A 14,607-nucleotide genomic window follows, 5' to 3' on the forward strand; every position below is an offset into this window, starting at 1 on the left:
ATATTCTTTTCAAAAGAGTTGAATCATATCAAACTCTTTTCTGACCATGAATAAGAGAAGTTAGCAAGGGATGGTGAGCAGGTATCCATTGATACTGTCCACAGGAGCAGTCAAGCTGGGGAGGCAGGCATGGACCCCAGCAAGGATCTGAGCTAGGAGGTGCAGGAGGCAATGGCCACTGGAACGAGGCTCTGCAGATAAGGGAAGGTGGGTGGGCATCTCCCATCGGAGGGGCAGAATGCAGGGCTTCCAGGCTCTCTGCTGCCACCTAAGCCTTTCCTCCTTGGGATGGGGGCCTGTGTGTGTGCTGCGAGTGTCCCCCCTGCCACTCCCTGGTCTGCCTCCTCGGCAAGAGAATAGCACAGAGGCAAGAAGAAAGGACTGCTGAGGGTGGTGACCAGAAACTGGATTTTCAGACTGTTGAATCTTGAGGCAGTCTGTGTTTGCATCTGTATGTATGTGTGTGTTCTGCATGTTCTGTGTATGTGAGCATAGGTGCCAGGTGGTTCAGCCTTTCCTCCCTGCTGCCAGGAGGCATGGGGGTCAGCAACCCCAGGCTCTTCCTGAAGCTTCCACATACCTGTGCTGCAGCCCGCACCTCACGCTTTCCTCTTTCTTGGGTCTCAGCACCCCACCTGAGGCAGTGGTTCTGGAGGCAGACACGTTCCCCGGGCATGCAGCAGGCCGTGGGACAGACACCACTGAAGGAGCAGAGTGAAATTAGGGCTGCTCTATTGGTATCCCCCAGTCACAAAGAAGTAGACACTTTTCCAAATGTTCGATTTAGGCCTTTAAGTTATGGTACCAACCCTTCTTTCAGGCATGGCAAGCCGGCTGCTCGGGCCCTCATTTGAGTCCTACCTGCTGCCCGAACTGACCAGATATGACTGTGAGGTGAACGTGCCCGTGCTGGGAAGCTCCACGCTCCTGCAAGGAGGGGACCTCCTCAGAGCCCTGGACCAGGCCACCTGAGCCAGGCCTTCTACCTGGGCAGCACCTCTGCCGACGCCGTCCCACCAGCTTCACTCTCTCCGTCTGTTTTTGCAACTAGGTATTTCTAACGCCAGCACACTATTTACAAGATGGACTTACCTGGCAGACTTGCCCAGGTCACCAAGCAGTGGCCTTTTTCTGAGATGCTCACTTTATTATCCCTATTTTTAAAGTACACAATTGTTTTACCTGTTCTGAAATGTTCTTAAATTTTGTAGGATTTTTTTCCTCCCCACCTTCAATGACTTCTAATTTATATTATCCATAGGTTTCTCTCCCTCCTTCTCCTTCTCACACACAACTGTCCATACTAACAAGTTTGGTGCATGTCTGTTCTTCTGTAGGGAGAAGCTTTAGCTTCATTTTACTAAAAAGATTCCTCGTTATTGTTGTTGCCAAAGAGAAACAAAAATGATTTTGCTTTCCAAGCTTGGTTTGTGGCGTCTCCCTCGCAGAGCCCTTCTCGTTTCTTTTTTAAACTAATCACCATATTGTAAATTTCAGGGTTTTTTTTTTTTTGTTTAAGCTGACTCTTTGCTCTAATTTTGGAAAAAAAGAAATGTGAAGGGTCAACTCCAACGTATGTGGTTATCTGTGAAAGTTGCACAGCGTGGCTTTTCCTAAACTGGTGTTTTTCCCCCGCATTTGGTGGATTTTTTATTATTATTCAAAAACATAACTGAGTTTTTTAAAAGAGGAGAAAATTTATATCTGGGTTAAGTGTTTATCATATATATGGGTACTTTGTAATATCTAAAAACTTAGAAACGGAAATGGAATCCTGCTCACAAAATCACTTTAAGATCTTTTCGAAGCTGTTAATTTTTCTTAGTGTTGTGGACACTGCAGACTTGTCCAGTGCTCCCACGGCCTGTACGGACACTGTGGAAGGCCTCCCTCTGTCGGCTTTTTGCCATCTGTGATATGCCATAGGTGTGACAATCCGAGCAGTGGAGTCATTCAGCGGGAGCACTGCGCGCTATCCCCTCACATTCTCTATGTACTATGTATGTATGTATTATTATTATTGCTGCCAAGAGGGTCTGATGGCACGTTGTGGGGTCGGGGGGTGGGGCGGGGAAGTGCTCTAACTTTTCTTAAGGTTTTGTTGCTAGCCCTTCAAGTGCACTGAGCTATGTGACTCGGATGGTCTTTCACACGGCACATTTGGACATTTCCAGAACTACCATGAGATGGTTTAGACGGGAATTCATGCAAATGAGGGGTCAAAAATGGTATAGTGACCCCGTCCACGTCCTCCAAGCTCACGACCTTGGAGCCCCGTGGAGCTGGACTGAGGAGGAGGCTGCACAGCGGGAGAGCAGCTGGTCCAGACCAGCCCTGCAGCCCCCACTCAGCCGGCAGCCAGATGGCCCCGCAAGGCCTCCAGGGATGGCCCCTAGCCACAGGCCCTGGCTGAGGTCTCTGGGTCGGTCAGTGACATGTAGGTAGGAAGCACTGAAAATAGTGTTCCCAGAGCACTTTGCAACTCCCTGGGTAAGAGGGACGACACCTCTGGTTTTTCAATACCAATTACATGGAACTTTTCTGTAATGGGTACAATGAAGAAGTTTCTAAAAACACACACAAAGCACATTGGGCCAACTATTTAGTAAGCCCGGATAGACTTATTGCCAAAAACAAAAAATAGCTTTCAAAAGAAATTTAAGTTCTATGAGAAATTCCTTAGTCATGGTGTTGCGTAAATCATATTTTAGCTGCACGGCATTACCCCACACAGGGTGGCAGAACTTGAAGGGTTACTGACGTGTAAATGCTGGTATTTGATTTCCTGTGTGTGTTGCCCTGGCATTAAGGGCATTTTACCCTTGCAGTTTTACTAAAACACTGAAAAATATTCCAAGCTTCATATTAACCCTACCTGTCAACGTAACGATTTCATGAACGTTATTATATTGTCGAATTCCTACTGACAACATTATAACTGTATGGGAGCTTAACTTTATAAGGAAATGTATTTTGACACTGGTATCTTATTAAAGTATTCTGATCCTACCACTGCTGGTGGCTCTTATTTCCTGTGGATTTATCATGGGCTATGCCAATGTAAAGTGAAGTATTAAGTCGTTCATATAAATTGAACATTAGCACAGACCTTTATGAGACTACTGAAGTGAGCTGATAAGACTGGTGAAGGAAAGACTGTGTTAAATACTTGGTAGTTGCCTAAGTCTGAAAATTCATATTGTATCTTCCATATTTCTGCAAGTATTTTTCTATCTATCTATCTATGTGCCTCGGGGCCATTTTTTGTATCCTATGGGGAACCCAAGGAAAGAAGTCATGGTCTCTGCTTTCAGAAAATTACATGAAGTCGTTTGAGAGCCACACTGTTCTGTATATTCACATAGTGCACTTTGGGATGGAGGTCCCGAAGGGAAAGGGGCAGCCTGGGCATTAGGACTTCAATTTGGAGGCGGCTGGGCTGGAGTAGGGTCTTCCCAGGTAGACTGTGATTGGGAAGAGCAGAGATCCCCTCGGCCAGAGACAGAGCACAGTGAAAGCCCAGAACTGGACATGAGCATGATATGTTCCCCAATTCAAATTTCACTTTTCCAGATCATGACCTGCTTGTGAGCAGACCTTTGTCTCCATGGAGAGATGGGGGCAAGGGGAGAGACCGTGCAGCAGCCTGCGCTCTCACTGTCTACCCTAGAACCAGCCATTCCAGCAGCATGTACTTTGCCTAAGCATTTGGTCCATATAGTATGGTCTCACATGTTTGTTAGCTTGTTAGCTCACTGGATCCTAGGTCTAAGCAATGCCATGGGCACCCATTCTACAGCTGAAACTGAGGATCTTATGACTTAAGCAAGTCACAGCTTGTTGATGGGAGAAATGAAACTGAAACCCCTTCCTGGCCAGTGCGTCTCTCCTCTTACACCTTAGACTGATGGCTGGGAGGCTGATTTTATGACAGGACCCTGTTCTCATTTCTAAATAGAAAATTCATGTCTTTATTACTTTAGCCTTTAGACCTCCTTCTGGTTCTTTTGCTTACTCTTCTCTTCCAAATCTTGGGGCCTGGACCTTCAGATTGGAGTTTCTGGGCTCTGCCAGGTTCCTACCCACCTTTGCCTGCCATCTTGGACTTCCTGAAAACATCACCTGTTCTTTTCTGAAGCTTTTCTGTGACTGACACATCTCAGCCCATCCTTCAGGAGCAGAGTTGCCTCTAAGCACTGGCTAATTCAGGATCCAGGCCTGGAAAGGTGCTATCCATCCCAGCCCCCTAACAACTGCAGGGTCCCATGGGGTCCACAGTGCTGTCCTTGGGCCATGATTATACCCTCCTGCTCCTGGGGGTGCTGGGCAGCTCAAAGCTCCTCTTGCTTCCAAGTCCAGCGAGCAAGCCAGAGCAAGCCAGGAACACAACGAAGCCATTGTTCCTGATGGGTCAGAGGAGCTCAGCCTCCAAGCACAAGACACAAGACCCACACAAGCCATCACTGCTTCATGTTTTGCCTCAAGCAATCCAGTGAAGACTGACTTAAATGCTCCCGATTTTGTATTTTCAAAATGTAGGTGACTCAGGAGTAGGTACATGCCTGTGTGACCAGATGTGCAAGGACCAAGGTAGGGGCCCGAGCAGAATCAGCAATCGTTCAGCCATTGGGGGTCCTCCTGATGCTAGATATATTCCCCTCTAGGCAAGCAAACCCTGGTGGGCTGTGACAACATCTCAGCACTTGTCTTGGTTGGCTGGCTTATGGATGAGGAATCTCTCTGGGAGAGGGACTCTGACCCAAGGCTGGAACCTCAGAAGGCCCTACCTAGTAGAGAAGGGCCAACCCTGCCCCTTCTGATCATGCAGGGCAAAACTGATCCCATTCCGCAGCATGGGCTTTGATGCCCATGTTCAGATGGGGGTGGAGAGTGAATGAACTGTTTTTTTTCTGGAGATCACGGAAATGCAGATTCATTTCTTTTACAACATGCAAGATTCAACCACTTAACATCCTTCCTCTCCTGGATCCCGCACAAAAGAGACTGCTTTTTTGTGAAAAAGAAACTTTTACCAGGAGGCCTGCAGAAGAACAGTCAGGTTAACCCGGCTCTTCCTTCCCTGAGGTAGTGGCCCTGGGTAAGACAGCACAGGATGTTATCTCAGATGCTGAGAGGGGCTGAGAAACAATGTCGCCCAACCCCATCACTTCTTTTTTTCAACCTCCTCATTTTAGAGATGAGGAAACTGATGCCCAGGAAAACAAAGCGACTTGCCTACAGTCACACAGGGAGTTAGTGGCAGGGTGGGGGCCAGAGCCCAGGCCAGCATCATGGGAACTGGGGCTGAACTCACGTAAGTGAAAGGGCTGTGTTCTCTGCCCCAGAGGTCACCGCTCACTGTCTCAGCCAGCACTGGGCCTCCCACATGGCCCTTCCCAAATCTTCCTTCCAGCCTCCTGCTCCTCACTTCCCTCCGGCACTCTCAGTTCTTCCAAAAATGATCCTGTCACCCCCATTTCTTCCAAACATTCCTCTGAGCTCAGCGACCCCTGTGGGAACTGCTTGGCCTCTCTGTGACCTCAAATGAAGTCTAAATCAATTCTTTCACTACTAGACTGAACTTTTCTTGGTCCCCCAGGACCCAGGAGAAAAGGATTTTGAAGTACTTCCCCAGCCCCACCTAATACACAGTGTTTAAAAATGATACTTCTTCGGCAATCATGATCCTTCCTTCTAGAAGCTTCCCAGCTAGTAGGGGAACCAAACAAAGCCCGCCTGGATGACTGAGACCCTGTCTGAGATGGTGTGGGATGATGGAGGCCCATGGCCCAGTTTTCCCAGCCAGTCCAAGCATTAGATCACGTGCTTCCGCGTCCCCGCGGGTGCAGCTGTACTTGGGCCAAGGGTCCCATCGCGGGTTCAGAAAGCATGATAACTATTGATGCAAATGAGCCCTTGGTTGTTTTAGGGTGGACTTCAACTCCTGCAAATGTCCAGAGGAGGCCAGCAGAGATCAGCCTGGGTCTTAGGAGTGAAGAATCTCCCACCAGAGCTGGGATGGAAGAGGATTAGACAGGCAGCGGGAAAAGAGGTCATTCCAGGAGAAGTGGACCAGGGAGACAAAGGCCTGAGGCCAGAATGAGCAATACATGCAAGAGGCCCTGGGGGGCAGGCAGGACGGGAGCTGGGAAGGAGGGGGCGGCCGGGCAGCCTGGCAACTCACAACACAGACCTAGAGTCAGACGGACCTAGGTTCAAATCCCAGCCCTGCTGCTTCCTGCTGTGTAACCTCAAGGAAGCCCCTTAAACATCTGATAGCCTAAGTCTGCTGTTCTGTAGAATGGTGGTGACAGCAGTCCCTACCTCATAGGGTTTAAAGCTGGAGATACAAATTTGGGTATGTGCAGTAGGTAAATTGTACTTAACTCCATGAGCTGGGATGAAATATGCCTCTGAGATAGAAGTGCAAAGAACAGAGGTCGGGAGACAGAACCTAGGCCACTGGTAGAAGCCAGACTGAGCAGGAGCACCCAAGGAGCAGAAAGAAATCCAGGGGTATAGTATCTCAAAAGCCAAGTGATAAGGGTGCTGCGGGAAGTAGGGCATAGTGAACTGCATTACACACACACTAGACTGAAAGGTAAGGGAAGGGGAAAAAAATTGACTCGGATTTGCCAACATGGAGCTCACCATCAACCTTAACAAGAGCAGGTTTGGTGGGGAGCTAAGGACAGCAGATTGGAGTAGACTGAGGAATGAGCTGGCTGGAGTGGGGAAACAGAGACCGTAGCAATATACAACTCGTTTGGGAAGGTTCCCTGTGCAGGAAAGCAGGGAAATGGAGTGGAGCAAGAGGATGACATGGGTCAGGGGAGTGTGTGGGAGTGTATATGTGTGTGTGTGTGTATGTGTGTGTGTGTGTGGTTTCATATTTAATCGACTTTTATCTTAGAATAGTTTTAGGTTTACAGAAAGGCTGTGAGACCATTATAAGAGTTCCCTGCACTCAGTTTCCTCTATTATTTTATTTTATTTTTAGAATAGAGACGGGGTTTCCCTATGTTGCCCAGGCTGGTCTCAAACTCGTGGGCTCAAGTGATCCTCCTGCCTCGGCCTCCCAAAGCGGTAGGAATATAGACGTGAGCCACCGTGCCTGGCCTCCTCTATTGTTAACATTACTATGGTACATAAGTCACAATTAATGAACCAGTATTGGTACCTTATTATCTAAAGCCTGTACTTTATTCCAGTTTTTAGTGTTACTTAATATCTTTCTTTTTCTGTTCTAAGGTCCTATTCAGGATACCACATTACATTTACTTGTCACGTCTCCTTAGGCTTCTCTTAGGTTTTCCCCACTTTTGACGGCCTTGACAATTCTGAGGAGTGCTAGTTAAGTATTTTGTAGAACATCCTTCCATTTGGATTTGTCTGGTGTTTTTCTGGTTGGACAGAGGTTGTGGGTTTTGGAAAGGAAGACCAAAGAGGTACAGTGCCATTATCACCTCCTCACATCACAGCAAGGGTACATTCCGCCGTCATGACTCGTTGCCTTGATCACCTGGCTGAGGTGTTTTGTCAGGTCTCTCCACTGTAAAGTTACTGGTTTTGGGGAGCCAGGAGGGACATCATTTTTGAAGATGAGCTACATTAGGAAACGTATATACGGTGATGGCAGAAAGTTGATGAAGACAGGAAAGGGGGGGATAATTGCAGAAGTAAAATGATTGAAAAGGTGGGATGGGCACGGATGGAATCCACTGCACCATCGAGGGGCTGGCTTCAGACAGAAGCATGGACAGTTCATCGTTTTAAAAGGGGGAAGGCAGAGAAGAGAGTAAAGCCTTAGTCCGTCAGGTGGAATTGGTGGTGGGAGGATAATAAGCAATCTCTAGTCTGATCGCTATTTCCCCAGTGATATATGAGGCTGTCAGAGGTTTGAAGAGATACAAGTATGAAATAGTCACTAGAAGGTCAGACTGATCGATGATCAGTATCAGAAGCTCAGGTGAGATTTATGGTCATGAACTGGCCCATGGCACAATTGTGTTTTCTTCTAGCCACACTGTTCTACTCTAATGGAGACTGAATGGGTGGGTAGTTGAGTTTACCAGGTTGTGGTTCAGCCAGGACGGTATGTTTAAGGGAGTGAGGAAAGTTTCCAGTAGGATGACTATTACGATGGATCACTAAGTTGTGTGAGAAGGAAAGAAAAAATGAATAGGTTCATGATCAATGAAAAAAATGGCAGGCTCAGTGAATTGGAGGTCTTAGTGAGGTCACAGTGGTCAGTGTGATATGTTAGAGAAAGGAACCATGTGGATGGGGCACAGTTGTCAGAGGAGAGGAAACTTACAGTTGAGATCTCACATACATAGGACCCAGCAATGACCACTTCTAGGTATTTTAAAGAAGTCAAGATTTTAAGTCCACACAAAATCTGCACACAAATGTTCATCCTCACCAAGAACTGAAAACAACCCAAATGTCCTTCGACAGGGGTAGATTTTTAAAAAACTGTAATATATCTACACAATGGACTACTACTCAGCAATAAAAGTTAACATGCTTGATTCAAACAACAGCATGGATGAATCTCAAAGGTATTATTCTTTTGAACAAAAGAGGCCAGTACCAAAAGGGCACATTCTATATAATTCCATTTATATGGCATTCTAGAAAAGGCAAAAATACAGGAACAGAGAACAGCTCATTGCTTGCCAGAAGGCAGGGGTGAGGAGAGATGAGGGCGTTCTCTGGAGTATTGGAACTGTTGCTTGTACTGTCTGTGGTGGTGGCTGTGAGAATCCACGCGTGTCTAAGAAACCATAGACCTGTACATCAGAAAAAGAATTTTACATATGTAAACTTAAGACATTTTTTAAATAAAAGCAAATTTTCAGATCTCAGAGGTGGCTGAAATCAAAGAAGGCAAGGGTCTGATGAAGTTGGGGAGCCAGGATGTTGTCAGAGTGGTCCAGGTGGGTGTCAGCGTCCGTGAAAGTAAAGGTGGATGGAGAGAGGAGCTGGGGACTGAAGTCACTGGGGGAAGAAAAAAAGAGTCTGAGGACTGAGAGGGAGAAATGAGTAACCCCTCTACGTCCAGGCCCTGCCTGACACCTGCCTGTAGGCGACAGAAACCAGCCTCAACCTGAGTGGCTGCAAGGAGCAGGGAGCTTGAGGACAGCCAGGCTTCAGTGAAAGAAGGTAAAGGCCCCTTCAGAGGAGGGGAGGCTCTAGGAGACAGAGTTCTCGATAATGCAGTGGAAGGGTCTGGAGGTGAGGAGGGGTGAAGGGAAGCGGATGTGCAGAACTCTCCCAGGACAAGGGCCACGTGGTGACTGATGACCTGGAAGGCTTGGTCTGCAGTGGTGACCGAGGAAGACAATTAGGAGGGACAGCATGTTGCCAAGAGGTCTCTCAGAGGTTCGAGCAAGACCGCCAGCGGGGGCAGGGTGCTGACCTCTTCTGTAGCTGGAAGGGAGATCCAGCATGCTCCCCAGGCATGGGCAGAGCTTTCTGGCCCTCCTCTTGTCCTGCAGCACCTAGGGACCAACATACATGCACACTCACAGAACGCAAAGTGGGTTTGTGTTTGTTTGTTGATTTCCAACAGCAGGTATCAGGGTGGCCAGGGGACAGCTCCCTCCATCTCTGTCCTGATCTTGGCTTTAAACTATGTGGGTGGGCCCAGCACTTGTAGGAACAAAAAAAGAAAACAGCTGCAGTTAGAGAAGACCCATTTGGCCTAAAACAAAGAACTTTTTCCCCATCCTCATTAGCCTGGTTGAGGCGAGGGCAGCTGAGCGTGAACATTGACATCATTTTGGGGGCCTCACTAAAGGCTAAGGCAGTGCTCTAACTAAGACTCAAGTCTGGATGAGAAAGCTGACTCAGACCGGGGTGGGTTGGCCTGCACGGGTTTGGGAGATCCTGGGTACGTGTGTCCACTCCTGCTTAAAATGTGGAGCACCAGCTGTGCTGGCCAGCGTGGGCTCTGCCGCGATGGTCATCATTCCCACCCCCCTACATGCTGTGGACCAACTCTGAGCTCTGCTGGGCTGTGCTCGGGGCATGGGACTGGTCATGGGTCGCTCACTTTCTGACTGAAGAAAATTGGAAAATTCGTGGGAAACTGCCCTCTAAGCCACTCCGAGCCCAGAATCCCTTTCAGGACATCTCCCTGGCCACTCACACCCTCATGGGAGAACTTCTGAAAAAGAGTAGAGGACCCAGTCTCTGCTCAAGTTTCCAGGAGCCAGCTGTGGGTGGCATCTGTAGCTCTCCGGGGGTGGCGGGGGGGGGGGGGGGAGGGGCAGGGGATAAGACTGATTGATCTTTAACTTCCTGGGTCCAATAATGACTCACATGGGTGAAGGATGAAATTCCAGGCATCACAGCAGGCTAGCAAAAGGCATATTCTAAGCAGGAGGAGGTGGACGGGGTCTTCTGGGTATTCCTCAAGTCACTCCAGGTAGACCCATCCCCTCTCATAAATCTGCACTTTTTATTTCTACAAGCAGAGGTGGGGGTGGACTTGTAGCAGTACTCACAGTCAGAAAGTAGAGACAGTCACAGTGACTTTATTATTTATTAGGCTGAGCTTGACCAGAGTATCTCATTCATTCATCACAATAGTCCTGTGAGCTCATAGGATCATAATTATTGCCATTTGGAGATGAAGAAACCGAGACAGAGAGAAATACAGTCACTTTGCCAAGGAAGTGCCTTTGATATTGAGTATGGGAATTTCTGAAAAATAACTTATTAATAAATGAGTACTAGCCTATAAAGTAATCGTAGAAATAATGTGACCCTAAAAATGCATTAATAGAAGAACAATATGGAGAAAAAAGGAATGGGTAATCCCACAATACTATGGGCTAGGAAGCCACCCCGATAATATTATATCCCTCTCTCGGCACCAGGTTTTAATAAACAGGAATGAATTCAAAGAAGGATGACTAAAATGGTGAGGAGACTCTCAACTATGTTACAAACACTGACTAGAAAAGCTGAGGAAGTTTGTACTGGAGAAAATAAGGTTTGGGGGAGCTCAAAAGCCCACCTGCAAATATCTGGAAAAGCAGAAGGTGTAGAACTTTTTTGGGTGGCTCCACAGGATAGAATCAGGCCTACAGGTGCAGGAAAACAGAGTCCAGCTGAACGCAAATACACTCGGAAACAAACTTCACCCTTTCCCTGATGTTTCAGTGTTTACTTGCTCAGAATAACAGAGAAATCCCTTTACTCTGATCACCAGAGAAAGCTATTTAGAACATGATGGGCTAAGGATAACAGGAAAAGGTAAAGAAAAACTATGATTGCAAAACTTCGCTCACATCTCTGTGTAGATAAAGCTTGGTTGTGAAAGATAGACGGCCCATATGCAACCCAGGATGACCAGAGGGGAACTGGCACTGCCCCTTAACTGTGAGCCGAAAAAATGGTGCAAATTATGGTGAATTTAAATTTTAAAATGTGTTTCTTCCTTAATAGAGATTTAGACTGCATGGCCTTCATGGACTACTGTTTCTCTTTGAGAGGTACTGTGGCATTACATCTGAAGTTAGGAAGAAAGCAAAAAACCCCACAAGTCAGAATTCCCCTCGAGAACCCCTAAGGAAGGTGTGACCACGCTGAAAACCAACACCCCACTTCTCCAGCGCAGTCAGCTTTTCCTCCGGTGTCAGAACAATTGTGGTTTCTTTGGATGAGCACCAGATGAAATAATTGGCTCATATCTAGAGATCACCTTGTAAAGAAAACACATCTTTAAACACAACTATACTCAGCACAGCAAGATGCTCACATCTCCAGAGGGATGGGGTGACTGAGATTCCCTAAAGAAACACAGGATCCACAACTCCTTTCTCATCCTTTCTCAGGGGCATATGGTCATTTCCTGGAATGATCTATTAGCATACTTACCCGTATTCAGAGGTAGATCCAGATTTTGAAGGGCTTGTTAATGGTATGTGCCTTTGCTGGGCATGGTGGCACACACCTATAGTCCCAGCTACTTGGCAGGCTGGGGCAGGAGGATCACTTGAGCCCAGGAGTTCAAATCCAGCGTGGGAAACACAGAAAGACCCCATCTCCATTAAAAAAAAAAATAGTATGTACCCTTGACATGATATAATAAAAATGATATTTTACCTCTATGATTCTTCCCCCTAAAAACCTTTAGGGAATCTCAGTCTAATCATGAGAAAGAGAATCAGACAAATCCCAACTGAGGAACATTCTACAAAAAAACCTCATTAGAACTCCTCAAAACTGTCAAGGTCATCGAAAACAAGTGCTGGGCATGTGGCTCATGCCTGTAATCCCAGCACTTTGTGGGGCCAAGGTGGGAGGATCACTTGAGCCCAGGAGTTCAAGACTAGCCTGGGCAACATGGCAAGACCCTGTCTCTACAAAAATAATTTAAAAATTAGCCAGGCATGATGGCACATGTCTGTAATCCCAGCTACTCAGGAAGCTGAGGTGGGAGAATGGCTTGAACCTAGGAAGTTGAGGCTGCAGTGAGCTGTGTTTATGCCATTGCACTTCAGCCTGGGTAATAGAACAAGAGCTGGTCTTAAAAAACAAGTAAATTTGAGCAACTGTCTCAGTCAAGAGCAGCCTAAAGAGACAATTAAATGAAATGTGCTCTGTTTTTTTTTTTTTTTTTTGAGAGAGAGTCTCACTCTGTCGCCCAGGCTGGAGTGCAGTGGCACGATCTCGGCTCACTGCAAGCTCCACCTCTTGGGTTCAACCATTCTCCTGCCTCGGCCTCCCGAGTAGCTGGGACTACAGGTGCCCAGCACCACGCTCAGCGAATTTTTTGTATTTTTAGTAGAGACGGGGTTCCACCGTGTTAGCCAGGATGGTGGAATGTGCTTTCTTAAACAGGATCCTATAATAAAGAAAAGAACATTAGGTAAAAACTAAGGAAATGTGAGTAAAATACGGGCTTTAGTTAATAATGATGTATCAATATTGGTTCATTAATTATAGGGAATGTACTATACTAAGATGTTAATCATAGAGAAAAACTGGGTGTGAGGCATATGGTAATTCTTTGTATGATTTTTGCAATTTTTCTGTAAATCTAAAACTATACTTAAATAAATGTTTTTTCAAACTATGCCAGATGAGAGCAAGGAAAACACAGGAGGGAATACAAAGCTAAGAAAAGGTAGATAAATGAGTAAATCTAAGTGAATATTGACTGTTAATAATTGTAGGGTTTAAAATAAATGTGGAATGAACGTATGTGAAAACAATGGCACAAAAGGTGAGAAGAAGTACATGGAGTTAAGTGGCTTTCAGTCTTTGCCTTGTCTAGAAAGTGGTCAATGTGGACGGGTGCGATGGCTCACGCCTGTAATCCCAGCACTTTGGGAGGCCGAGGCAGGCGGATCATGAGGTCAGGAGATCAAGACCATCCTGGACAACATGGTGAAAACCCGTCTTTACTAAAATACAAAAAATTAGCCAGGTGTGGTGTCACGCGCCTGTAATCTCAGCTACTCAGAAGGCCAAGGCAGGAGAATCCCTTGAACCAGGGAGTCAGAGATTGCAGTGAGCCAAGATCGCACCACTGCACTCCAGCCTGGCAACAGAGCAAGACTCCATCTCCAAAAAAAAAAAAAAGAAAAAGAAAGAAAGTGGTCAATGTAATTATTTATATTAGATGCTAATAAATCAAGGATGCATGTTGTAATTACTAGAGCGATCATTAGAACTGTAAAATAATGTAACAATGACAAGCTAATAGAGCGGGGAAATGAAATCTCAAAAAAAAAAAAAAAAAAAAAAAAACGTGATTATTCCAGAAAAAGGCAAGAAAGGAGAGAAAAAGAAACACAGGGAGGTTGGATAAGTACAAACCAAGTAAGATGCTAGCTTTCAATCTAAATATATCAGTCATTGACCAGGCGCTGTAGTTCGTGCCTCTAATCCCAGCACTTTGGGAGTCTGAGGCAAGAGGACTGCTTGAGCCCAAGAGTTTGAGACCAGTCTGGGCAACAAGGGAAACCCTATCTCTACAAAAAATTAAAAAATTAGCTGGGCATGGTGGTGCATGCCTGTAGCCCCAGCTACTCGGGAGACTGAAGTGGGAGGATAGCTTGAGACCCAGAGGTTGAGGCTGCAGTGAGCCATGATCATGCCACTGCACTCCAGCCTGGGTGACAGAGAACCGTGTCTCAAAAAAAACAAATATATCAGTAATTAAATAATATGAGTGGGGTTAAATATTAATAGTTCCATTAAATGACAAATATTACCAGACCAGGTTAAAAGATATATAAAGACTGCTTACAGGAAATATGCCTTATAAATAAGGATACAGACAGGAGACAGTGAAAAGACAAAAAGAAACCATGCAAACACAACTCCCTCCAAAAAAGCTGGTGTAGCATACTAATATCAAATAGGTAGACTTTGAGGAAGAAGCATTAACCAAAATAAAGAGTGACTTTTCATAATAATAAAAGGGTCAATACAATAGGGAGGTTTCATAATTCTGTATTTGTATGTACCTAATAAGCCTCAGGAATTAATACTACCACAAGGAAAACTAGAAAATCTATAATCATAACAGGAGATTTTAACACATCTCGCTCAGTAACTGATAGAACAAGCAGAAAAAAAAGT

At 46.0% G+C, this 14,607-nt stretch overlaps 1 protein-coding gene and 1 long non-coding RNA gene across 3 annotated transcripts in view, besides 3 other annotated features; one reads left to right on the top strand and one right to left on the bottom strand.

Moving 5' to 3' along the window:
* EPAS1 (endothelial PAS domain protein 1) overlaps nt 1-3,009 on the top strand; it is an 89,291-nt gene extending 86,282 nt beyond the window's left edge. For both annotated transcript variants that reach the window (NM_001430.5, XM_011532698.3), the window contains exon 16: nt 821-3,009. In NM_001430.5, coding sequence (NP_001421.2) covers nt 821-972 — 152 coding nt within the window. In that variant the 3' untranslated portion in view covers nt 973-3,009. The remainder of the gene's footprint in view (nt 1-820) is intronic.
* Nucleotides 760-1,259: an enhancer, noted in NCBI's record as "H3K27ac hESC enhancer chr2:46611587-46612086 (GRCh37/hg19 assembly coordinates)". NCBI's record gives its function as "activates a minimal SCP1, AML or CMV promoter by ChIP-STARR-seq in primed H9 embryonic stem cells {active_cell/tissue: H9 hESC(primed)}" and the evidence as "EXISTENCE:reporter gene assay evidence [ECO:0000049][PMID:30033119]".
* On the bottom strand, nt 8,605-10,479 carry LINC01820 (long intergenic non-protein coding RNA 1820). Its single transcript, NR_146999.1, has 3 exons — nt 10,330-10,479; nt 9,425-9,657; nt 8,605-8,795 (listed from the first exon to the last, which is right to left on the bottom strand). It is a non-coding gene; the product is annotated as a long intergenic non-protein coding RNA 1820 (long non-coding RNA).
* Nucleotides 9,475-9,975: an enhancer, noted in NCBI's record as "H3K4me1 hESC enhancer chr2:46620302-46620802 (GRCh37/hg19 assembly coordinates)". NCBI's record gives its function as "activates a minimal SCP1, AML or CMV promoter by ChIP-STARR-seq in naive H9 embryonic stem cells {active_cell/tissue: H9 hESC(naive)}" and the evidence as "EXISTENCE:reporter gene assay evidence [ECO:0000049][PMID:30033119]".
* Nucleotides 9,976-10,476: an enhancer, noted in NCBI's record as "H3K4me1 hESC enhancer chr2:46620803-46621303 (GRCh37/hg19 assembly coordinates)". NCBI's record gives its function as "activates a minimal SCP1, AML or CMV promoter by ChIP-STARR-seq in naive H9 embryonic stem cells {active_cell/tissue: H9 hESC(naive)}" and the evidence as "EXISTENCE:reporter gene assay evidence [ECO:0000049][PMID:30033119]".

This window comes from Homo sapiens, chromosome 2 (assembly GCF_000001405.40).
Source record: "Homo sapiens chromosome 2, GRCh38.p14 Primary Assembly".
Classification (NCBI taxonomy): domain Eukaryota; kingdom Metazoa; phylum Chordata; class Mammalia; order Primates; family Hominidae; genus Homo; species Homo sapiens.